This window comes from Homo sapiens, chromosome 7 (genome assembly GCF_000001405.40).
Source record: "Homo sapiens chromosome 7, GRCh38.p14 Primary Assembly".
In the NCBI taxonomy this organism is placed as follows: Eukaryota; Metazoa; Chordata; class Mammalia; order Primates; family Hominidae; genus Homo; species Homo sapiens.
Window position 1 is genome coordinate 17,027,492 of NC_000007.14, and position 24,619 is coordinate 17,052,110.

Consider the following 24,619-nt stretch of genomic DNA (forward strand, 5'->3'; position numbering starts at 1 on the left):
GCAAGTATATTAGGTGTTTTGGCATCTCTAATCTATTTCAATATCCTGAATTCACAGAAAAAAAGAGAGGCATTTATGTAACACTTCAGAGATTGTGCAACTCATTCACATATGCTGGCACAGTTTCTTTTCAACAGTTTTGTAAAGTATGCAATATTTCGAAGCCCTAGAAAAAAAACAGCTGCTTTTGTCCCTGGCTGGCAGTGATCATTTGTGGATCTTGGATCTGAATTCCAGAAGCTCCACAATATTATTCTCACAACAGCACATGCCAAAAGATGTCCCCACTGGTAGCCACTCATTCATATTGCTTCTGTCTACATTCAAATGTCAGGTAAGATTCATCTGACCAATGAAACCTGGACATTTGTCCTCCCACAACTGCAAAGGAGTCTAGGAAATGTACATGTCTTAGAACATGTTCTCCAGAAAGCAGAGCCTGAGGCAAGGATTAACATGTTGACACTTTCTTTGAGAAGTACAAATCCAGCAGTGAGGGTGAAGAACATGAGTAGAGAAAGGTGCTATGATGCATTTCTGTGTTGGTTCCTGTGTTCAGGATGTGTATCCACTGGTCTGTCGTACTTCTCCAGAGCAGTTAAAAAGAGGAGCTGATTCAGGGTAATCTTTAGAAGGGAGAAAGGAGGAGAAATTTATCTATGGAGCTTTCTCCCATATACATTTCCTGTTTTACTAGACTGGCCTCACCACGGGCTAGTTCCCTCAGACTTTCAACTTGGGTAATTCAGGTCACTGTTGAATCCCACTCCTGGTACTGTGGCGTTTCCTCTAGGTCTGGAAATGTAGGGGAAAATCAGGGTGGATTGCTTCAACAGCTGAGGGATGTGGACCATGTGCCCAGAACTTCATCTCAGCCTCCTCCCAGGCTGCAAGCTCAGCAGAGTGAGGCAAAGTTCAGATATGGGTGGCACCTTTAGAAGGAAGAAGGCAGTCAAGGGAATCTAAGGATACATACCACGTTTTTACCCTATATAGTCAGGTTTTTGGTTTCTACCTTAAGAAGGCTGTTTTCACAACATAGAAAGCTCCCACGACATAGGGAGGGTACTCAAAAGATGTTGGGCACCCCCAATGGCAGATGTTCATTACCACCTCCCGCACCTGATCACCCAACTAAAGCATGTCTCCCTTGTCACTCCCTCCACAGCTCGCTAGGGTTTTTCTTCCTTAGAGCGTACCAAAATCTAAGCTTCACTAAGGCAGTATTACTTCTGTTTTCATCATCATTGTATACTCAGGAGTGAATACAGTGCCTGGTACAATATAAGTTTGGATAAATATTTGTTGGTTAGATGAATGAATGAATGAATACCAGACAGCAAATTATGAGCTAAACAATGGTATAGGTGGTTATTACAGGGATGAAGATAAAGAAAATAATCTTCACCCAACTTGGAAAAGTTTCACAGAAGAGGTGGGACCTGGGTTAGGCCTTGGCATATAGTTTTAACCAGAAAAGTAAAGAGAGTAGAGATACTCAAGGCAGAAAAGCCATGAAAGTAAAGATACATATGTGAAAATGGTCTTCATTGGTTCATAAGATGATGAAGAAACCAATGCTCTATCAAATTTCTGGCAAACGTATTAATACATATATTTATCTATGGATTTCTGCTGATCTCTAATTATTTTCCTAACTGAGAGGTCTACAAAGCATTGTATTGGAAGCAGGCCTTAATCTATCATGTCCAAACCTCTCCTGAGAGACATTTTCCTTCAGTGACCTGGGAAGCTGAACTTTCTTAATTGGATTAGTGGCATTTTGCTGTTTCAAACTGAAACAGGATCTACTGCCCTATACTAGCTAGCGCTTTATAATCTACATCATCTATTTTGCGGTCATTGTTGAAGCATCAGAGCTAACCCAGGGAGACAGGAAGTGGCATTAGATTTTTTTCTGTTTTAGCCCTGCTTAGAGATGTAGTCCAAGATGATAAAAACAATGTGACCTTTCTAGATCAGAATACGTTTTTGCTGTAGAGCTGAGGTTCACAAAGAAAAGCCTAAAGGAACTTTTCAGTGATTCAGGGTGGATATCTCCTGGGCACTTAATATTGCAAAGGGCCTTCGATTCAACCCACTTGCCCTCGGCTATTTTCTTAATGAGAAAGTGGATCCTACAAACTTTAATCCCATTTACCGAAATATCAAAGCAATCTGTACTTTATATCAAATAATTATATCTGAGGTAAGCTTAGGAAATTTAGCCATTTGTTGAGGGTTGTTTTTCCCATAACAAAGTCTCTAAATAGAATTATCAAGACTATCAAATGTTAATTTGTCAAGAGAAACAGAATAGCTAATAAGGATAATTAGATTTATATTGCAAATAGAGTATTATCATGAAGGTTTCCATGTCTCCTAAAGGAAGTATGACTGAAATATGACTGCAGGGAAGTCTTAATCAACCAAACTCTAGAGTCATTTTCTCTTCAATGTACGACAGAATCTTGCTCTGAGGCAGCGTTAGAGAGAATGCCACCCTGGCATTTTAGAACTCAGGTCTTCAACTGTGACTTATCTCCTGAAGAAAAGCACCCTCATTCATTAAATAGACAGGGAAAGGTGGCTGCCTGGCTTCCCTGGCTTTTCTGATTAAGAAGAGAGATGAGCATACAGCTTCTATCCCTGCACAAGGGCAAACACCAGCCTGCTGGCAGAATTTTCAAAGATTCCAAGATTTCTCATGGATGAGGCTTCCAATGACTTTTCCCTCCAAGAGTAGACATTGATCACCTTGTAGCAGAAGTTCTGAATACCTAATGCTTTTTCTGCACTTCTAGGAATCTGAGAGCATTTGCTCTACACCTTGTATTCTATCTAATTCTGCCGTCTCTTGTTCTCCTCCACTCCGAATGTTTCTTCTTATAACATTAGCCTGGTGAATTATAATTTTTTGAGACGTTGGTCGAGGTACAATTTTAAATTGCTTTTGTGAAAACCAATACCTGTTATTTGCATTGCAGGTAAGTTATTTCAATTTTAGGGCAGGGATTACAAATTTTTTTCGTCAATAAAATCCCAAAGAGGACAGAAAGAGAAGGAGGGGTTTGCTAAAAGAATGAGATTAGAAAGACAGCTGCTGACAGTAAGTTTTTTTTCTCAGGAAAAATCAGAAAACTTCCCTTGTTCTCCTTCCTTGGCCCCTAATTAACGTGACTACCCATGGGAAGAGCAGCTGTGTCAGCCACTTCCCTTTCCTGTCTTTTTCAATGAAAATGACCAGAAACTGAAAGAAGTTCACAGTGTGGCAACTGCACAATCTCAGTTAAATAGCCTTGAAGACCACAGGTTAATCGGTTGGATCCTTGGTTATTGAAAAACTGGTTGAAGAGGGACAGCTTCCCCTTGCCATGTACTGGCTAACACCACTAGTTTTCTCACTGTTCTTCTCCACATGACTGTTGGACTCCATTCCATGCTTCTTGCTTCCTCCTCTATATTCTCCATTTAGTTACTTTGAAAAAAAGCTTTATGTACATATAAAACTTTATATATATAATATAATATATATATATATACACACACTCAGTTTTGAAACTGTGAAACAAAACACCCATAATCCTATTGCCCAGAGATAAGCATCTTTAACATTTTCTTTGGCATTTGCTATGCACATATATGTAGTTAGTTTTGTAAAATTGGAATCATTCTGTATATTTTATAATAGTTTAACTATTTCTCACATGAATATACACTTCTGTAGTAAGATCTTATATGACTATATGTTCTTCTATTGTACGAAAATCCTATTATTCGGTCTAATTCTGAGTATTTATGTTGTTTTGAAATCTTTTGTCATAAATAAGACTGAAATGAACATTTTAGCATTTAATATTTTATAGATATCTCTGAGAATTTCCTTAGGGTAAATTTCTCAAGAGGGAATTTTCAAATCAGATTATAGATATTCAAAGAGTCTCCAGAAAGCTATTATTTATTTATTTCCCATTTAATGCCAAATAAGTGTTGATTTTTCAACATAGCATTACACTATACAATATTAAAGATGAAAGGTCTTATGTTTGATTCAACTTCTTAAAAATGGAAACTTTTATAAGGAAAAATTTAATTTCTTTAATTTATATGAACATTCTTGACTTCTTCGGTTTTAAAATTAATTTGGACAATACTGCCATACTTTAGTCTCTTTATGAAGTAGTGACAAATTAAAATTAAATACCTTTCCTTTTATTTTAGGATCTCAGATAATCCTCCGCAGAAGAGCCCATATGTAGGATCTATGTGTCTGGACACAAATTCAAAAGTCCCATCCCTCCTTGACCAACCAGCAAATGCATTAAGAAAACAATATGTGCCCCCCCATAGCAGATAGCAACAGAACACAGGCTATGAGCAGTCATGCTGTGCTAGAAATTTAGTTTCTTCACCACTCAAAAAGAAAGAAGGGAGAGCATTATACTAAACCTCTGTGGAATCTTAAGTGCCCCCAAACCAACAGACATATTGCATTTTACATGAATGGATTCACTACCACTATCATGACCAAAGAGCAGTTACAAGGCATCCTCTTGTGGTACTAGTACAAAACAAATAGAGAATTATGGCCCCTACTCTGGAGCTGCTTGCTGAAGTCTCTTCTAAGATCTGCCAGTAGCAAGCAGTGCTCATAACAAAACCATGACATTGAGCTTGACGCAAGTAGAGAAAAACAAAGGAAAACATGCTACCCCAGTAACTACCATATAACCACCTAAAACAGAATAATTACAAAGTGAATAGGGAAACAGAAGAAAAAAGAATATACATGGTTTCCTGATGCCACAGTGTGGCATTGCTACAGAGGACTAAGAAACAACTAAGGCTGACAAACCAGTCTGGCATGGAACTAAGAGGGAAGGTGGTTCCTTCTCAGTTAAGCTTTATGTTAGTGCTGCATTGAAGAGGTAGCATCACATCAGCAATAGCTTGTAACAAAAAATAATCATGGGATGTAATTTAATGTATGCTTAGGATCAAAAGAACCAACAATCTTTGCCCATTAACAGTTTAATCAGATGTACACATGGATCATATCACATGTACATACTTAGTTTAAGTCATTTATACCAAGCTAACAGAAAAAGGATAGCAATTCCAAACATTTTGCTAGCACATAACTTTGCAAAAAAATTAAATTGGTGAAGAAAAGAACCATGCAATTTTACATTTTTGGTGTGTGTTTTCAAGCTGCTTCCAAATTTATAAAATCACTTCCCTTTATAACAAAGGATTTTCAGAATCTAAATATCAAATGAAATACTCCTAGCACTTAAAGAGTTTATTAGACACATACAATTACGTTCAATGAAGTTATGAGGGAGCTTCAAAGTGGAAGATTAAGAATTCACAGTGATAAAACTTCAAACACATCTCAGAATAAATTCAAGCTTTTTAGCTAACATATGTGTCTTTATCAATTTTTTAAACGCAGAAGGGCCCATGAAACACACAGCAGAATTCAATGTTCTATGCTAAATGCAGAGAATTGTATAGTTCACAGCATGACTTACATATATTATCACCTTTCCTCCACAATGCTTAAAGCTATTAACACAAAGCAGAACACATCTCCACATTAACCTATGTTCTGCTGTATGTAACAAAGACTGCCTTCCTGCACCAAGGAAAGAAGTGACTCTTGAAATACCGAGTGGAATTTCTTTAACCAAAATAAGATTGAAGCACTGGCAGACCCACAGCAGGTGATCAGGAGCCACATGCTTAATGGACAAGACCAATTCTTTGCATTCAGTCTAATAATTATGTCTCAAATTTTTAGACTGTTGTGTTCGTTGCCCTCCTAGTCCAACCTCTTCAGCAGCAACTGGTGCTGCTTCAGCTCCAGCACTGGTACCTAGGCCACTCTCTGACACAGGCTGGTCAACAGGTACCAGCTGATGAGGAAGTACAGCTCCGACTCCAAGACAGGCACTGGGCATCTGGCCACCAGGGCTTGGCCGAGGCTGGGCACAGGGCGAGAGGTGGGAACAGGTGGTGGGCAAAGCATTCAGGCCCCATGAGGCTGGACCAGGCCAGGGCCAGGCCTCCACCCCAGGTACATGCCACAGCTAAGCTGTGCAACTCAGAAGGGTATAATTTAATGTATTTTTACCTGCAGTATGTGAACTTACTTATAAACAGTATTGATAATGTTACTTTTTTTTTTTTTTTTTTTTTTTTGAGACGGAGTTTTGCTCTTGTTGCCTAGGCTGGAGTGCAATGGTGTGATCTCGGCTGACTGTAACCTCCACCTCCCGGGTTCAAGCAATTCTCCTGCCTCAGCCTCCGGAGTAGCTGGGATTACAGGCATGCACCACCACCCCCAGCTAATTTTTGTATTTTTAGTAGAGATGGGGTTTCTCCATGTTGGTCAGGCTTGTCTCAAACTCCCGACCTCAGGTGATCCACCTACCTCGGCCTCCCAAAGTGCCTGGGATTACAGGCATGAGCCACCGTGCCCGGCCTGCCTCTTTTTATTTTACCCATTTTATAAGGAAAATGATGTGGAGTTAATTTTTATTTTTTGACTAAACTTGAATTAACTTTATTCATTGACATTTTATATATATACATAATATGCACTAGCCATTAACATAAAATATCAAGTTTTTTTGTGTATGTGTGTTTATGTAAATTTTATCTTATTCCCTTTCAATTTTAACACATAATGCTAAATTTAACATAGTCAAATTTGTCAATAATTTCTCATATGATTTTGGCCATTTAAAAAAGTGTTTGGAAAGACCTTCCCCACCACAAGATCAGATTAATACTGAGCTGCATTTTCTTCTGGTTTTCTATGATTTTGTTTTTTAACAGTGTACTATTTAACCAACTTTGAAAGTTTTTTGGCAAATAAGATAATGTAGAGACAGTATTTAATCCTCAAAGAGATAAGAATTACTCTTATACGCTATTTGATTTTTCCCTGTCTTGTGGTGGGATACTCTCTTGATGTGGTAATTCATTAGCTGAAATTTAATTTCTTATTTTTGCTGAGAATAATCAGCTGAAGGGCCTTAGGATTCTGGTGGCAATGGGAAAGTTTGAAAGACAGTGGCCAGGTAGTTACCTCTGGCCCCACCAGAATTGTTGTAGACTTGTACAAGGAGCTATGAACTCACATTCTAACAGGTAAAGGACAGATGATGGAACTACCAATATCCAGCTCTTTTGGGGCCCAAGAGAAAGTAGCTTTCATAACTGTTGCTATTATTTCAACCACTACTCATACTCTAATACTACTACATCCACCACTCAAAATTTATTGAGATCTTATAATGTTTAAGATTATACTAAGGACTTTATATACAACACATATGTGAAGATTACAAATATTTATTTTTCACACACACAACGATCCCCTCCATTATTCCAACTTTATAAAGAGCACATTTGAGTTGGGTCTTAGAGAAGTTAAGTAAATTGTACAAAGTTTAAAATCTGAATTTGTAATCCTTATTCTATGTTGCATGTTAATAATAAAAAGTAAATTTGAAATAATATGTTTATGTGGAAGACATAGCAAATAGCTAATGATCAGCAAGGTGACTACAACTTTTAACACCCTACACAGCTCCGAAGCACTGTGTCCCAATGTTCCTTGTAGGAATCTGTCTGCTTTTCAATTCTGCTTTTGTCAAGTTCTAATTGGATCTGTTATCTAGTGGACCTACATACTTTTTAGGGAATAAATTATTATTTTGAGTTTTTCTTTAAGATTTTGTACCAGATTTGTTATGTTACTATTATTAGGCTATTGTGAATGGCAAACTGTAAACAATGGTTTTTCTGTGGTTTTCCTGTTGTCTAAAATGTGAGTATTAGCCATAAGTGGAGCCTGCAACTAGTCCATTTGCTTTTTCAACCTATGTTGGGAGTTCCTCCTACCAAATATTATTAGAGAAATAAGGAGGGTAACTGAAAGGAAGATGATGACTGAAAGTTTAATCCACTGTGAGAATTGGGGCAAGACACATAAGTAGCTGTGAGAATCAAGGCAAGACATGTAAATGGTGGGGTTCTCAATTTCTTTGTAAAACAGAGAAAATAATCCCTGCCTCGTTAAATTGTTTTGAAGAAAAGATAATATTTTAAAAATATAAAATATGGAAAAATCCTTTTGAAATTTTGAAACAGTATAGAAAACATGAGGAACTAACTTAAGCTTACCAAGAGAAGAGTGTGGCTTTCTGCTCTTAGTGTAGTAGGTTGATTCTGGTTTACTCCTAGTGGAGAAGACATTAATTCAGACTTCTGGATATGGCTCTATGTTTACACACTTACACTTTTATTATACCCTATGAAACAGAAAACATGAGAATATATTGCTAAACATTAGTTTATTTTGTCTTCTAGAGGTAGTTTCAGCTTCTGAAAAATAGCAGAAACAATTATATTTAAATCTGAGCCCCAATATATAAAATGCAGAGTTGCATGAAGTGAATTCCAAATCCTTCTTAACTTGGTAAAGTTTCCCCCCGGATTAGCAGAAAGTATACCCATAGCATAAACATTGTTCTTATTCTAAAATTTATATTAAAATATATCATTCAAAGATGTATTAGTATAATCTTAGAAAAGGAAAATTTAATAATTCAGTTAATGGCCAAAATTTTAGAGAAAAGAGACTGAGAAAATACACAATGGAGGAAACGTTGCCTAGTAACTTTAAGTCTTTATAACCCAAATTTATTAAAATAATGCTTTCCAAGAAATAATTGTTTCGATATGTATTTTTGATAATAAAATAGTCCTAGACAAATGGAATATTGTGACTATGTAACATTAACCTCATTCCAGTCCCACGATGTGGTGGTAAACAATGTGCCACTGCTACTAACATTTATTTTCTACTTTTAATATTAGCAATAGAGTTGTAGTTAAACTATCTCTGGAAGATTATTGATTTTCATAGGTAGTTCAGGTCTTCATACTCCAGGTTCAAGATCTGATATCACCCAAAGTATGGATCCATTACTTTGAAATTAACCATGCCACTAACTACTATTGCATGTCGTTAAATTGTGAAAATTTTGTCTATGTTGCATGTTCTTTCAATGTTTTAGTATGTCACACTTTTTCAAAATAAGCTTCTTGGCAGTAGTAGGCCACAGAGCTGAGTAATAAAATATGAAATTTAAATCTGAATTTATTTTACTTACTATCATTCTGCATCGATTTTGTGTGTCTTTTTCTCTGTCTATGATCTCAAATTGGCTATTCTTTTCTGTAAGCTATTATCTGCGTCCACAATATATTGCTGACTATTGCATTTGCATGGATTGTGTCACATTCATCATTCATTGGTAAAAATCAGAACTGAAACTCAATAACTACAGTTTTATTTCTTCATTACTTTATGTTATTTTGGTATAAAGACAGGATTTCTATCATTATCTAGTGACAATCATGAATTACCCTTTCTACAAGGAGGGGCTCAGAATAAATTCAAGATGGAAACATCAACACAATCAGTTGAAATATTGAAGCCGTTTAAGAACCAGATAATAAATATTTATTGATCTGCTAACATTTCTAGGATATAATACTTGTAGTTCTTAGGAAGCAATATAGTACAGTAAAAGAAAATGTAGGATTTTGCATACAACAAATTTGAATTTAAATGTAGGCTTGCGGTGTAACTAGTTTGGGGACAATGGGTAGGTCGCAGCTTTTTTGATTATAAAAGGCAGCTTTTTTGATTATAACAATACTTACCATACATACCTGTTGTGAGGGGTCTAGATATAAACTTCTGAACATAGTGACTGGTACATAATGGGCTCTGAATACACTTAAACTACTCTTCTTGAAACCAGACGGGTCTCACTAAAACCATGGTTTTGCCTCTTAGTAGCTTCGTGACTTGAATCAAGTTCCTTAATCTCTCCAATCCTTTGCCTGACATGAGGGAAAAAAAATGATAGTCCTCACTTGAATCCCTTTCCCTACAACTACATTGCCAACCCCCAAATCAATTCTCTACAGTGTATTATTTTTTCTTCTAAAAACTAAACATATTAGCATGGTTTTCTGGAAGAACCTTCCCAAATTGAATTATTGCCAAGACCCAGCTGGGCTAAGCAGTACAGAGATGAGTTGATTGAATTGTTCATGCATAAAGGTAATCAGCCATTCAAACCCCGGAATGTAATTCCCAGAAAAGAGTGAGGCACGCTTTCCACCTGACAGTATTCACTTTTCTAACATGTGCTATTTCATGTTTCTCACCACATGTGGCAAAAGTGGTAGTGGAAACATGGAAAGAGAGCAACACAGTTTCTGGTAAGAAGACGAAGCTCAACTTGTCGTTTTCCCCTAGATTTTCTAATTGCAATGCATGGTAGTCATTTTATTTCAGAGCAGTTCATTTGCAATTTTCTTTATTCTCTCTTCTAGTAATCTCAAGCCTGGTTAGTATATCCTTCAAATCTTTATCTAGATTTATGGTTTGTGTCAGTCACATGCCTTATAACTATTTAAAGAGAGATTTAAGATTCATTTATTTGGATACAAGAAAGGATGCACTGATGAATGATATTTAGAAAGGGAAATAGACACTGCTCTCCAAACAGAATGTGACATGAAGACACATTTTCAGTGATTTACCACAGCATGAAAAAGCATTAGATTCCATTCCTATTCTACTGAACATTTATCTTCTATTCCTTGAGCTTATACTTTTCTCAACTGAAACTTTGGAGGAAAGAGAAAGGCAGTTAATGTTTTCTGAGAGCCTATAATATGCAGCAGTCGGGGACACTTTGTCTAGGCTCTCTAATTTAGAACCACCACCCACTTTGTAACATAGATGACATTTACCCTGCTTGTCAGATGAGGCAGGACGGTTAAGAGAAGTTACCAGTGTGCCTGTGGTCAGTCACTATTAAGCCACAGACCTGAGCTTTGTGCCCTCCCTACTGTTCTTGTACTATATGCTGCTTTCTAACGTGCTATGCTTAGATATTTAGTTTTTGGTAAAGTTCAAGTCCTGGTTTTAGGTGGGCCAAAATAAGTGAAACTATTTCTTTAACCTATTTTCTTTGATGCTAGCCTAACCTATATATCAGTGAGATTGAAGTTGTGAAACCATAAAACCTCAACTCAAAGGGCAATCAACTCAAAGGGCATTGTTAGGTAGATCAGATTAAAGATTCATGGGAAATATGCCAGAATTTGAAGACTTTTGCACATGGAAGTAAAATGTTAGAAATTTCCCTTTCCCAGAGAATGCCAAAATGGGAAATAATTTTTCTCACTGATACATCTTGGGGTATTTTGGAAAAACAGAGTTGTGAATTGCAATGCTATATGAATTAAGAATTACTATTTTTAAGGTAAAACAGACAGCAGGCATTTTGAAAAAATGTGAGCAAAAGAAAGCAATCTCTTTAGGAATGCTGCTGAGCAAGATCTTGTACTTTTTTTCAGCAGTAACCGATGGGAACAGATTTTTCTGGATTTCTCTGGAGTCATAATTAAGAGCCTTGCATCAAGGAAGTGATCATTCTGATGTGGTCCCATGAGGGAACATAAACATCATAGAACGTACCAGTTTAGGAGAAGACAGAATTAGAAAGCAAGAACCAAGAAACATCAGAAACAACCAGAGTGAGAGAATTCTCTCAGTCAAACCAGTTTCTCTACTTCTCTGTGAAGAGTTTAAAAGTTAATATCATGACTCCACTAATCTTAATTTTTTGTATACATATTTGTATCTACATAAAAAATACAAGAAAAATTATCCAGCTCTCAATCTATATTGCAACTCCTGCTTTTTGTTGCCTTTATATATGACTCTAAATTAAAGAACTCCTTTCAAATACACTCAGATATTTGGGTCAGGAGGACCTCTATTCATCATTATAGGCAAAATTTGGTTGTCCCTAGCAACCAGGTAAAAAATGGTACTCATAATGGAGTATTGCTAGAGGGAGGCTTGGTCAGCTTGGCTAGACATTCCTAGATATCACACTATGGCTAGCTAACACCAGAAAATACTTGGATCATTAGTATTTATGAGCCTGAGCCGCTCAACTTTTAAGAATAAATAAAGCTTCCTGCGTCTCTGTTGGAGAGCATTCTCTGACCATGGAAATGTGGTAGGTCCAAGAAGTGCAGACCAGGAATCTGGGAAAATCAGAATCTTAGGAGTGACCCTCACCAGTGAGGGATGAGATCTGGTGGATAAACACTCCAGCTTTCTTGCCATTGCTGGTACAGTACTGAAGAATGTTCTGTACAGCTTCTTAGAGAATCTCAGTGAGACTGAGCCTACATTCCCATAGTGGTAATTTGCTGATTAACAATATAAATATTAGCTATATTCACTTCCTTCCTTCTTTGTTTTACTTCCTTATTCTTTCACTGTTCTTCCTGGGATCACTGCCTAGATAAACCATTTGCATTTGGATTATTGTCTCAGAGTCTGCTAACCCAAACTAAGAAAACCACCTGATTTTTTCTACCTAATATACAGAAATATACTTAACTTATCCAAGTTAAAATAGATTTTTTAAAAAAATTTTTGGGCACATAGTAGGTATATATATTTATGGGGTACCTGAGATGTTTTGATAACAGGCATGCAATGTGAAATAAAGTAGATTTTAAGAGATTGTGTAAAGAGTTCTTGTCATGTTTTGTCTCTAGTGAGACTAGTATTTTGGGGAGTGTAATGGAATTGGGGAAAATATCTTGGAAAGATGTGGCAGTTATAGGACTTGATGGCTATTGACCAGGAGAATCTAATTTTCAACAACATTCCAAGGTGGGCACACCTATGGCACTTACTGTATGCTGGTGCTGTACTGTGTTCTTGCTGTGTGTATGGTAGTGTGTGAGTGTGTGTGTGTGTGTTTGTCTGTGTGATATGATGATGTGCTATGTTTGGACTATGTTTCTGGTCCAGAAAATTTGAGAAAAGTTTAGCACAATGAAGCCAGGAAAGTTTTATCACGCAGGTGACATCAAAATGTGCCTCTTAATGTTTATATTACACACAGTAAGCATTTAGATCACACTTTAAAGTTCACGTTGAAATTGAGGCCAGAATATTTGAGATTAAAATTCATAAGACCTTCCTCTTCTAAGATGTATATTCTTATGTGTTCATCTTCAAAGGAGACCCTATAATTTTACTTCAAACAAATACAGTGATTTAACTTAAAAAGCTGGGATAACGAGTGGTTAATAGGTTTTAGGAATTGTTTAAATATTTTTTATTGTGAATCCGTGTGCTTTAGAAACGTTTGCTCCAAGAACTCTTTCCTTAAAGAGAAGAGGAAAGCATTTGGAAAGCATTTAGGTGGTCTGAAGGACTTCTGGTAATAGTTACTGATACAGGTTGAAGCCGTATTTCCAAGCAAACTATTATAACGATTTGGCAATTGACCAGAAGATAAGAAACCTCTGGTTCATTCTAATTCTTCTATTTCCTGGAATTTCAAGACTCATTCCTTCTAATTCCACTCCAGGAAGTAGAATGATATTTTTAAAACTATCAATAATCCAAATTACCATGAAGAATCCCATTTTTAAAAGCAATTCCTTTCTCTAAACTAAGGAATCTGTTTCTTCATTTTTTTTTTCACTAAAATAAATTTTGGTCATTCCTTCTGATTTCACTGTTAAAGAACTAGCTATGAAATTTGCACAATTTCATACAAAATAAATTTAACAGCAGTAACATAAAAAAGTTATTTTTCCTACCTACATAAACAATTGTAGTTATATTCTTACATGATGTTGATCATAAGAGATAAGAACTAAAAAAAACCAAAACTAACTGGAACAAAAGATTTGATTAGAAATGACAGTTGTTTGAGGGTTTATTTTTGTAGGACAAAAGCTAGCATTTAATTGTTTATTTTACAGTTAGGGAGTTTACATTATGGAGGTATTCATATCTCCATTTCTTTCGTTGTGCTGTGACACACTTCCTGAATATTTCAAACCACTTTGTTTTGCAAGACTACTTTGCATTCTGAAGAGGTTTCCTGCTTAATTTAGTTCCGTCAACTGATTGCCATGGAAACTCTTGATATCCTTTCCTCTTCCTGGAATGAGACACTGGCTCTGTTTCAAATAGATCTTTTGGCACAGAAATAGAGTATGTTTCATAGAGCAAAATGTGCTGTCAATAAAAGAGGGTCCTTCAGAGGGATCTACTGAATGGACAGGAGCCACAAATACACACATCACTACTGAACAGAAAGGTAGTTGAACAATTAAAACCAGGTAGCAGCATAGTTCAAATCAAAACAAAGTGATGCCTAACCGACTTTTTAATTTTATTCACAAGTAAGTTGAAATCAATGCTTTACTGCATGCCAACTGAGCAAAATCAAAACAGAACAACCAATGATATATTACCCTAAAATTTTATGAGACTGAATCAATCTGAATTTCTCAAGGGCATCTCAAAGCAGATTAAATTGGTGAATGTGAACAGTTGTGCTGGAAAAATAATTTCTATAATTAACTATAACACAAAGATCTACCATTTTTCTTGCCATGGATTTTATTTTAAAAGTACATTTCTCAAGCAATAGTGACTGTAATAAATACATTGGGTCATCCTATTAAGCCCTCCACTTTGAAATGAGGATCATATTCTGGGTTTATTCTACTTATATTTAACAATTTTTAAATATGGAATTTGGAAAGTTAGAGCCAGTTACAATCATGAAAAAGAGAAGAATGATTATGTTTACAGTGTATTTACTACTTTACTTTGTGTATGGATCGCTGAGAAAAAAACTTCAATTGCATGACTATATATGCATGTGTGTTTACAACTGTTGTGGATGACCGTGTGTGTGTTTATGTATTGCATACAGACAGGTAGTTGTCAAAAGTACAGATTAATAGAAAAAGAAGTAGGTGTATATTGGGAGAAAGAGGAAATTCCTTTCTGATGACTCTCTGTAAATTCAAATATATGATAGCATCTTTAAAGTTAGAGTATCATGTGTTAATCTGTTATTTTTCATAATATTCAGGTTTTGCATATCCTTTGGAAAAAATGAGTGGAAGACAGCTATCTCCACCCAAACTTGTAGAGAGCTGTTTTCCTAAGACATTAAAAGTGAGAAGAGGCAAAATTTTGCTTCCTTGTAAACCTTGAATTTAGCAGCAGACACATAATGGTTTCTTTTGATGGCTTGAAGTTTGTCTATATAAAAATCATTGGTTATGATTTTGTTTTTTCTGATTGAGGTGGTAGGCACACATTATTTACTTTTCCCACAGTCAATTTACATCAAGAAAATATGTTGCCCTACAAAGTTTATTTACAATGAAAATTCACGTGCATGGAGAGTACTTCCTAAAAGGAATGCATATTTAGCAAATCTGGAAAAAATAATAAAATAATTGTATAAATTCTAAATATTATAGGTAAGAGATTTTAAAACTCAGTTTATTATTTTTTGGGTCCACTTTGATTATCTAAATTAGAAAAGTATATGGTACCTTCAAATTAGCTACAGCCTTAGCTGATTTGTCAAAATGTATTATAGCAACTCTGTTTTAATATCTCACCATGACAAAGCAGTAAAGCTCTGGTTATCACAGTATATTGCTCACTTTCAGTGTGATTTACTCTTAGCAGTCTGTGCATAAATGAAGCATAGTTTCACAATGTCTGCTTTTTGTTGTTGTTGTTGTTAAAACAAATGCCTTAGTGTCTGTTACACTCATATCTCTTCCTGGACTAGTTTCTCCAAATACATTTTTTTTTTAATCCTGCACGGACAATTGGAGTGCATACTGAAGACTGCATGATGGAAATCTCTGACCTAATTCTGCAGTCATGAGAGGTTTGGAGAGCAGTGATTAAGATCTAAACATGGACATACATGTTTCAGTGAAGTATCTTAACTTTATCAGCCCCTTAACCAAAGTCGAGTTATTTTTATTTGCTTTCTTTTTTGGATCTTTGCAGATGCTAACATCTTTCTTTCTCTTTCTCTTTCTTTCTTTCTTTCTTTTTCTTTCTTTCTTTCTTTCCTTCCTTCCTTCCTTCCTTCCTTCCTTCCTTCCTTCCTTCCTTCCTTCCTTCCTTCCTTCCTTCTTTCCTTCTTTCTTGATTTCTGAATGTGACAGAGAGTTCTGAGGAGGTGGGGAGCTTTCCTATGACCCATTTTCATTCTTTGAACCTAATTTAGCAACTTGTGTATACATTATTGTCTGTGTTTGTAAAATGCACAAACAATACTGCGACTTAAACACCAGATTCATACTAAGGAATTGATCCTTACACTAGTCAGAAAGCACTTGCCTAAAATGAATATACTCTGACATGGAAACTAAAGCTCTGTTTCTGGAGAGGGCAGAATAGAACCAGTGAGTGGAAATTATATAGACACAGATTTTAGCTCCATCTGAGGCACAGCGCATCGATAAGTAGCCATAGCATTCTTATTTCATGATGGAGCAGAGCTTGCTGTCTCTTGGATGGGTTTTCGAGTTGTTGGTGATGAGTTAATTATGTGGTGAGAGACCTTGTTTTCTGCCCTCTTTTCTGTTTGTCATCTGTCCTTTTTTCCTCCCCTCTTTTTTCCTTTTCTTCCCTTCTCTCTTTCCCTCTTTCCATTCAGTCTTCACACATGTATTAACGTCCTATTGTGTGTCAGATACTTTGCTTCTAAACCTAAAAGTCTGTTATTGAGAAGTAATAGTTAATTATGTGAAGAAAAACATTCAGTACTCCTTCTACTGAGAAGGGCTTGTCTCTATTTCCTTTCCACTTAACACTGACAATTTTAGAGCACATTAAAACTGAGGAAACTAGCAATGCTGTTTCAGAAATTAATTTTTAAAAGAAAACCAAAAGTCTTTTTTCCATTGATTATATATCTTAATTTGCTGCTGGAAGTAACCAGGCACCCACAGAAACAGCAAAAGGTGGACAATGAAAATTAGAAAGCATTTAAACCTGGGCACCTATCCCCAGTGAGCCTCTCCAGTTTTATCCCTGCAAAGAGTTAATGAAGGTAGAACAGAAGGGCAGAGCAAGCAGCTGTTTTAGTTTTTAGTGGGGACAATCAGTAGGATAAGAATGGACACATGTCAAGTTACCCCCCCTGCTGTCCTTAGATAAAAAGGCCTCTGAGACACAGACTGTGATGCCAAACCATGTCCATTCTGCCTGTCGTATGGAATGCCAATCCCTGAGATGGTAAGTTTTACAGCGGAGAAAGAGTTTATTCATGAGGCAGTCAAGCAAGGAGGTGGGAGAACAGGTCTCAAATCTGCTTCCCTAAAGATGGGATTTTAAGGATATTTATGAGACAGAGGAGTGAGGTAGTCTGAAGTATGAGGAAAAGTCATTGGCAGTAAAGAAGAGTGAGGTTATCAGTGAACTATGCAAGCATAGCCAAGCTTCATGGCTCTTCATAGGATGCATGTTCACATGGTGGTGGTGTTAGCATGATCTGTAGGTAGAACATCAAAAGTGTACCTATCGAACACTCAAGCAGGGTCAGTGGTCGCAAATGGCTTGAACTGGACTAGAGCTGACTCTAAGTTCCTGAAAAACAACTTCAGTAACCATCACCATGGTGACCTATATGTCAGAGATGTTATCTGTGAGGAAGCTAGTGCAAGTTCAGTTATATATTGCTTAGCCACATGACCTTTAGCTACATAGATTTTAAAATCAACTAAAGGCAAGTAGCTAAAAACAAGCAAGGCAGGTTAAGCTTGGCAGACCTAATCAGGTTAGCCCTTGGTTTCAACTGTAAGTTGTCTCCCAATAATCCACCTTCCCTTTCTCCATTTTAACAGAAATTTTAGTCTATCTTATGACCACTCAGAATCCCAGTCCCACTACGTAGCCCCGTCTCCCTTGCAGCAATATGATGCCATGTGTCTTAAGTTACGACCAATATGATAGAAGACAACTATCCCATGACAGCTTTTGGGAAACTTCCTTAAGACAGCTAATGTACACCGTGGCCCTTCCTCTCTTTGGCTTCTTCTCCATCCTGCTACCTGGAATGCAGATGCTACCATCTTGCACTGTGGGGTCCAGCTATGACAGAATGGTAGCTGGAAAGAACTAGGTCCCTGAAGAGATCATGGAATGGAGCTGCCATAATCATCCCAAATTGCCTCCTTTATACTTGTCCTCTCTAAGTAACGTTATTTTGTTATTTTAAAAACAATTCATAGTCAAACACAATCCCAACTAATATGGGCACCTTATAGGAAGGCTAAAGGCAGCCTGTCTCCATTTCTAAGATTGACACTTAGCATTCCTAGTAGTGGAGGAACATAGTTTTTCAGAAAGGTCTATAAATTATGCTTTTACTAGGGATTTTACCTATGTTTTTCTTCACTTCATCCTCATAGGTGGTACCAGGCTCAAACTATGAATGATAATATAATATGTTATCAGAGAGATAACATAGGAACTTCGTTTAAGTCTGGGAATTAAACACAGATCTACCTGACTCAAAACTTACATTTTTTTTTCTATCATTCTATATTGCCTTCTTGATATTCTGCTTTAAGATTCCTCCTCAGTCACATATTTCTATGGCTGATAGACTGGTTGGTATCCACTTAGCCAGTAGCTTTGAGAGAAGGCTCCAGAGTAGGTGAAAGAAGTTTTCCTTTGTATTAGCAAGTGAAGACCGATTTCCAATATAAAGAGAAAATGTCAAGTGTGACTTCTATTTGAGAAAGATTTGAAAATAAATGCTAGATCTGATTTTATATTATCTATAGATTATTGGTTTTAACTGGCAGCCCAGGCTGATTTTAGAGTTACGTATACATTTATATTGTCTCATAATATTAAAAAAAAAAAAAGTAATTAGTTGTTAAACTTTAAAAGGGAAAATCTGGGTTGCTTTCCCACATGACAATCAGCTGATGCTGTGTATGGCTGTCTTTATCAGTGGGCTTGCTATAGTTAGTCAGCCCACTCCACTCATTTTCATTACTGACCCTTTCCTGTTAGTCATTTGAGAAGTTTACAGCCTTTGTGTGGACCCTTTTCCTTGAAGATGATTAAACACACAACAGATTGTTAACAGTTGCCAGTATGTTTGGCAAATTAATTTATCAATCTTAACTTCAGACTTACAGTCCTTATTTGTAAGTATATAAACACCGGTGTATTCTTCTTATTTTTAAGAATAATTTGGTGACCTCTAGAGAGGTCTATGCGGTCTCTTCAGAGCACCTATAAACTTCTTTAGAGAAATTCATAGATAAAACAAATTATCTCTGCATTTTGGAATATAGACTTGGATTATTTCAAAGTCCTAGACATTTTCTACACGGTTCTGTTTGCCCAGTAGGCTTTGAGCCCAGTTGGAATATAGTCCAGCAAAAGGAGAACTCTTGCGGTGGCGGGATTTTTGCCAAAGCACTCTCTCTCTCATAACACGATGAGGACGTGTTTTTTTTTTTCCACTAAATATAGTTTTCCTATGTCTATGTCCTATGTCCTATGTTCTATGTCTAAAAGGGTTATAATATTGGCAGTAGTAGAGGGAATTTAGCTATAATTGTGTGTAAGATGCAAGGAAAAAATAAAATGAATTTTGTTTCTTTTATGTTCTAGGAGAGTACATCATTATAACCTTGAAAGTCCAGAGGGAAAACTTCAATAAATATTGATGATGATGACCATGAATTAAGCATTCTCTGGAATAGTCAATTAACTATAATGCAATTAGAACAAAGCTCGAAGGCCTACTAAAGGCATGCAGCCAGCCTTTTAAAAATGACTGTTGTGGGAAGAGGTTATTGGGTATGTGAGGTACAAGGATTTGTTAGATCTCTGTGCTCCATGACTGCAGAAAACATCAGTTCATTTGCCTTTACCTATGAACAGGGAATGATATGAACTTCGGTGTCTACCACTGATAATCAAAATGACAGTCCTATGCCATTCGCTCTTCTTTTACAGTTGACAAAGTCATGGTAATGAAGCACTTTACAATGACACATTTTGCATATTTTGAGCTCAATGATATCTTAGTCAATTAAATAAAATAGCATTTTTATACCAGTTGGCAGCTTAGACATTTTCTGTTATTCTATTAAGACAACCACTTTCAGCTTAAACTCCTGACCGATTTTCACAGGTCTCCATGCTCTGATTTCATGCACAAAGCCAGTCTTATTTTGTGATAGAAACCTTCTGCCTCCCTGACCCACAAACCCATCATGGCCTTTACCCCACACATTTTGTTCTTCTATGAATGGAAATTCTTCCTCTGCCCTCTATGACAGAAATCCAAAGCCTCCTTAACCTGCTTCTCATATTGACACCCATGGATAATCCCAACTATACAAGGAAGAAGGGCAGATATTATGTAGTTGTCAAGGGCCTAAACTTTGAAGTCATACTTCCTAGGTTCAAGTCTCATTTCAATCAGTTGCCAGCTTGGTTTGGCACTTAATAATCAATCTTAACTTATTTTCCTGGACAAACCAAGAATAAATATATCAGCTTCATGGGTTTCTTGGGACCGGTAAATGTAATACTGCATGTAAAGTACCAAACATTATATTAAACCTTCAATACGTGTTTAGAATACTAAGGAATTGATCCTTACACTAGTCAGAAAGCACTTGCCTAAAATGAATATACTCTGACATGGAAACTAAAGCTCTGTTTCTGGAGAGGGCAGAATAGAACCAGTGAGTGGAAATTATATAGACACAGATTTTAGCTCCATCTGAGGAACAGCGCATCGATAAGTAGCCATAGCATTCTTATTTCATGATGGAGCAGAGCTTGCTGTCTCTTGGATGGGTTTTTGAGGTGTTGGTGATGAGTACTGTTGTACCTGCTCATTGCACGCTTTCATCATTCATGAATTCTCAACCTCTGTCTCCCTCTCTTTTTGGTGTTTGTTATTGTTGTTGTTGCATCAGTTGTTCAATGTTAAAGTTCTGGGTGGAAATATGCAACCGCTCTCTGTCACACTCTCAAACCATGGCTGTCAGAGGATAGGGAAATCTCCTGGCCTTCCACCCAGGCTCACAAATAAAAGAGGAATTTCTTCCCAAATAGGACAAGGTTCAGATGTTGAGTAGTTAAAAAGTATTCTAACAAACAATGATGTCTTTAACTGTTCTTTAACTGTTTTTCAAGTTGGAGCGCTAAGTCTTTGAAGGCAGAGCTTATGCATATTTCACAGGTCTCATCATATGATAGGTTCTCAATGAATACATTTCGACATAGAGCTTAAAGTTTGACAGATTTGTTTGGGGGATTTATTGCTTTCTATGCTCCACTTAGAGTTTAACAAAGTAATGAATTGTGAGAATTTTATTGTAATATAAGATTGCCAAAATGGTGATTACAGTATGGTAAGAGAGCCCTAGAATATCTTTTCAAGCTAAATAGACTGTCTCTATTCAAATTAATATCCTGCAGATTGGAGAGTCAAAATGAGAGGGTCATGCCTTGTGGAGAATACAATCCTACATTGTGTAAAGTATCTTCAGGGAAAATTATAACGGAAAATGAGAGTAGGGAGGGATAAAACCTATTAATATTATTTAATAAAATTTTTATTGTGAAAGCAATATTTGACTGTTATAGTAAATTTTTAAGATACAGAAAAACACAAACACAAAAGAAAATTTTTTTAAATGTTAATCACCACAATTTTGGGGGATGCATTCATATATTGGTTTGTGTGTATGTATGGTGTGTGTGTGTGTGTGTGTGTGTGTATATATATATACACTGTACACATGTATGTATAGTATATAGTATATATGTACATTATACATACACACACAAACATGGCCCAATACCATACACACACACACACACACATATATGGTGTATACTTGTGTTATATGTGTGCTTAAAACCACAAATGTATAGCAAACACACCCATATATGCATAGTTGTTATTATAAAACTGTTCTTATATACAGTGTTTATTAATGTGCTATGAAATTGTTTTCTTAAAAATGATTCTTGTTATAAGAGAAATAAATGTTTATTGCAAAAAACCCAGAAAATAAAATAAGAAAGTATGTAATACATGCAAATTCTCAGCAACCCAGAAGTAACCATTGTTTATATCTTCTGGTATAATCTTTCAAAATCCTAGTATATAACAATTACACAGTTTTTTGCAAAATAGATTATCTATTTTATAGGATATCTTATAACCTACTTTTAAAGAATAACAATAGGTTATAATCATCTTTCCATGTCAATAGGTCTATTTCTGCACCATCATGATTTATGGCTATATAGAATTCCACTTGGAGGATATACACAGCTGATTTTCTAAAATACAATAATGGATGTTTAAGTATTTTTTGTTTTTGTTTTTACAAGCAATACTTCAGTGAACATCCTTGAAACATATTTATTCTTCAAACATATCTATAACTTTATTTCCTTAGGACAAATTCTCAGAAGTATAGTTATTGATGCCAAAGGTATGCATATATTTATATCTTTGTATAGCAAATTGCACTCTACGATACACATCAGTTTGAAAATAAAAACAGGATATGAGTGTGCATTCTCCTAAAACTAAATATTGGTGTTTTAAATGAGGTTTTAAAATAGATAAATCATTTTGGCATATAAAGTATTATAAAGTTTTCTTTTGTGATTAAGCATTTTAATGTAATTTAAAAGCCTTGAGTATATTATCTTATAAAGCAACACAATGAAAATGGCATATTACTAAATCTCTGCATATATTTATGAGTATTTTCTCAGGAATATTACCAAATAGTGATATTTCTGGGAAGAATGTATATTACTATCCTATAGCATGCTGACTTTGGTTAATTTGTCAGGAAAGGATAGTAACACCACAAATGAAGCATTCAAATTAATATATAGTTATGTGTGTTTTGTGGATTGAAAAGTTATGTTTGATCTGGTTTTGGTTTTAGTCTTACCAAATTATAAATGGGATTCCATTACAAATAAAATAAAATATGCATTTACTACTATTACCAATAAGTTTCTACATGATGTGGTTCCTGTATGCCTCTCTGATCCCAACTATGAAATCTTCCAGTCTTCTTTTTTTTTTTTATTATACTTTAAGTTTTAGGGTACATGTGCACAACATGCAGGTTAGTTACATATGTATACATGTGCCATGTTGGTGTGCTGCACCCATTAACTCGTCATTTAGCATTAGGTATATCTCCTAATGCCATCCCTCCCCCTCCCCCCACCCCACAACAGGCCCGGGTGCGTGATGTTCCCCTTCCTGTGTCCATGTGTTCTCATTGTTCAATTCCCACCTATGAGTGAGAACATGCGGTGTTTGGTTTTTTGTCCTTGTGATTGTTTGCTGAGAATGATGGTTTCCAGCTTCATCCATGTCCCTACAAAGGACATGAACTCATCATTTTTTATGGCTGCATAGTATTCCATGGTGTATATGTGCCACATTTTCTTAATCCAGTCTATCATTGTTGGACATTTGGCTTGGTTCCAAGTCTTTGCTATTGTGAATAGTGCCGCAATAAACATACGTGTGCATGTGTCTCTATAGCAGCATGATTTATAGTCCTTTGGGTATATACCCAGTAATGGGATGGCTGGGTCAAATGGTATTTCTAGTTCTAGATCCCTGAGGAATCACCACACTGACTTCCACAATGGTTGAACTAGTTTACAGTCCCACCAACAGTGTAAAAGTGTTCCTATTTCTCCACATCCTCTCCAGCACCTGTTGTTTCCTGACTTTTTAATGATTGCCATTCTAACTGGTGTAAGATGGTATCTCATTGTGGTTTTGATTTGCATTTCTCTGATAGCCAGTGATGATGAGCATTTTTTCATGAGTCTTTTGGCTGCATAAATGTCTTCTTTTGAGAAGTGTCTGTTTATATCCTTTGCCCACTTTTTGATAGGGTTGTTTTTTTTTCTTGTAAATTTGTTTGAGTTCATTGTAGATTCTGGATATTATCCCTTTGTCAGATGAGTAGATTGCAAAAATTTTCTCCCATTCTGTAGGTTGCCTGTTCACTCTGATGGTAGTTTCTTTTGCTGTGCAGAAGTTCTTTAGTTTAATTAGATCCCATTTGTCAATTTTGGCTTTTGTTGCCATTGCTTTTGGTGTTTTAGACATGAAGTCCTTGCCCATGGCTATGTCCTGAATGGTATTGCCTAGGTTTTCTTCTAGGGTTTTTATGGTTTCAGGTCTAATATTTAAGTCTTCAATCCATCTTGAATTAATTTTTGTATAAGGTGTAAGGAAGGGATCCCGTTTCAGCTTTCTACATATGGCTAGCCAGTTTTCCCAGCACCATTTATTAAATAGGGAATCATTTCCCCATTTCTTGTTTTTGTCAGGTTTGTCAAAGATCAGATGGTTGTAGATATGCAGCATTATTTCTGTGGGCTCTGTTCTGTTCCGTTGGTCTATATCTCTGTTTTGGTACCAGTACCATGCTGTTTTGGTTACTGCAGCCTTGTAGTGTAGTTTGAAGTCAGGTAGTGTGATGCCTCCAGCTTTGTTCTTTTGGCTTAGGATTGACTTGGTGATGTGGGCTCTTTTTTGATTCCATATGAACTTTAAAGTAGTTTTTTCCAATTCCGTGAAGAAAGTCATTGGTAACTTGATGG

The 24,619-nt window shown here is 36.2% G+C and overlaps 1 long non-coding RNA gene and 1 pseudogene across 1 annotated transcript in view; both read right to left on the bottom strand.

The window, feature by feature from the left end:
- The window catches only part of LOC124901595 (uncharacterized), a 60,261-nt gene extending 37,225 nt beyond the window's left edge, over positions 1-23,036 (bottom strand). Inside the window, exons 1-2 of the long non-coding RNA XR_007060239.1 lie at positions 9,754-23,036; positions 8,197-8,252 (exon numbers count right to left, since the gene is read on the bottom strand). This is a non-coding gene — a long non-coding RNA (uncharacterized LOC124901595). The remainder of the gene's footprint in view (positions 1-8,196; positions 8,253-9,753) is intronic.
- Positions 5,598-5,987, bottom strand: BRWD1P3 (bromodomain and WD repeat domain containing 1 pseudogene 3; annotated as a pseudogene).
- Positions 23,037-24,619: the final 1,583 nt, after the last annotated feature.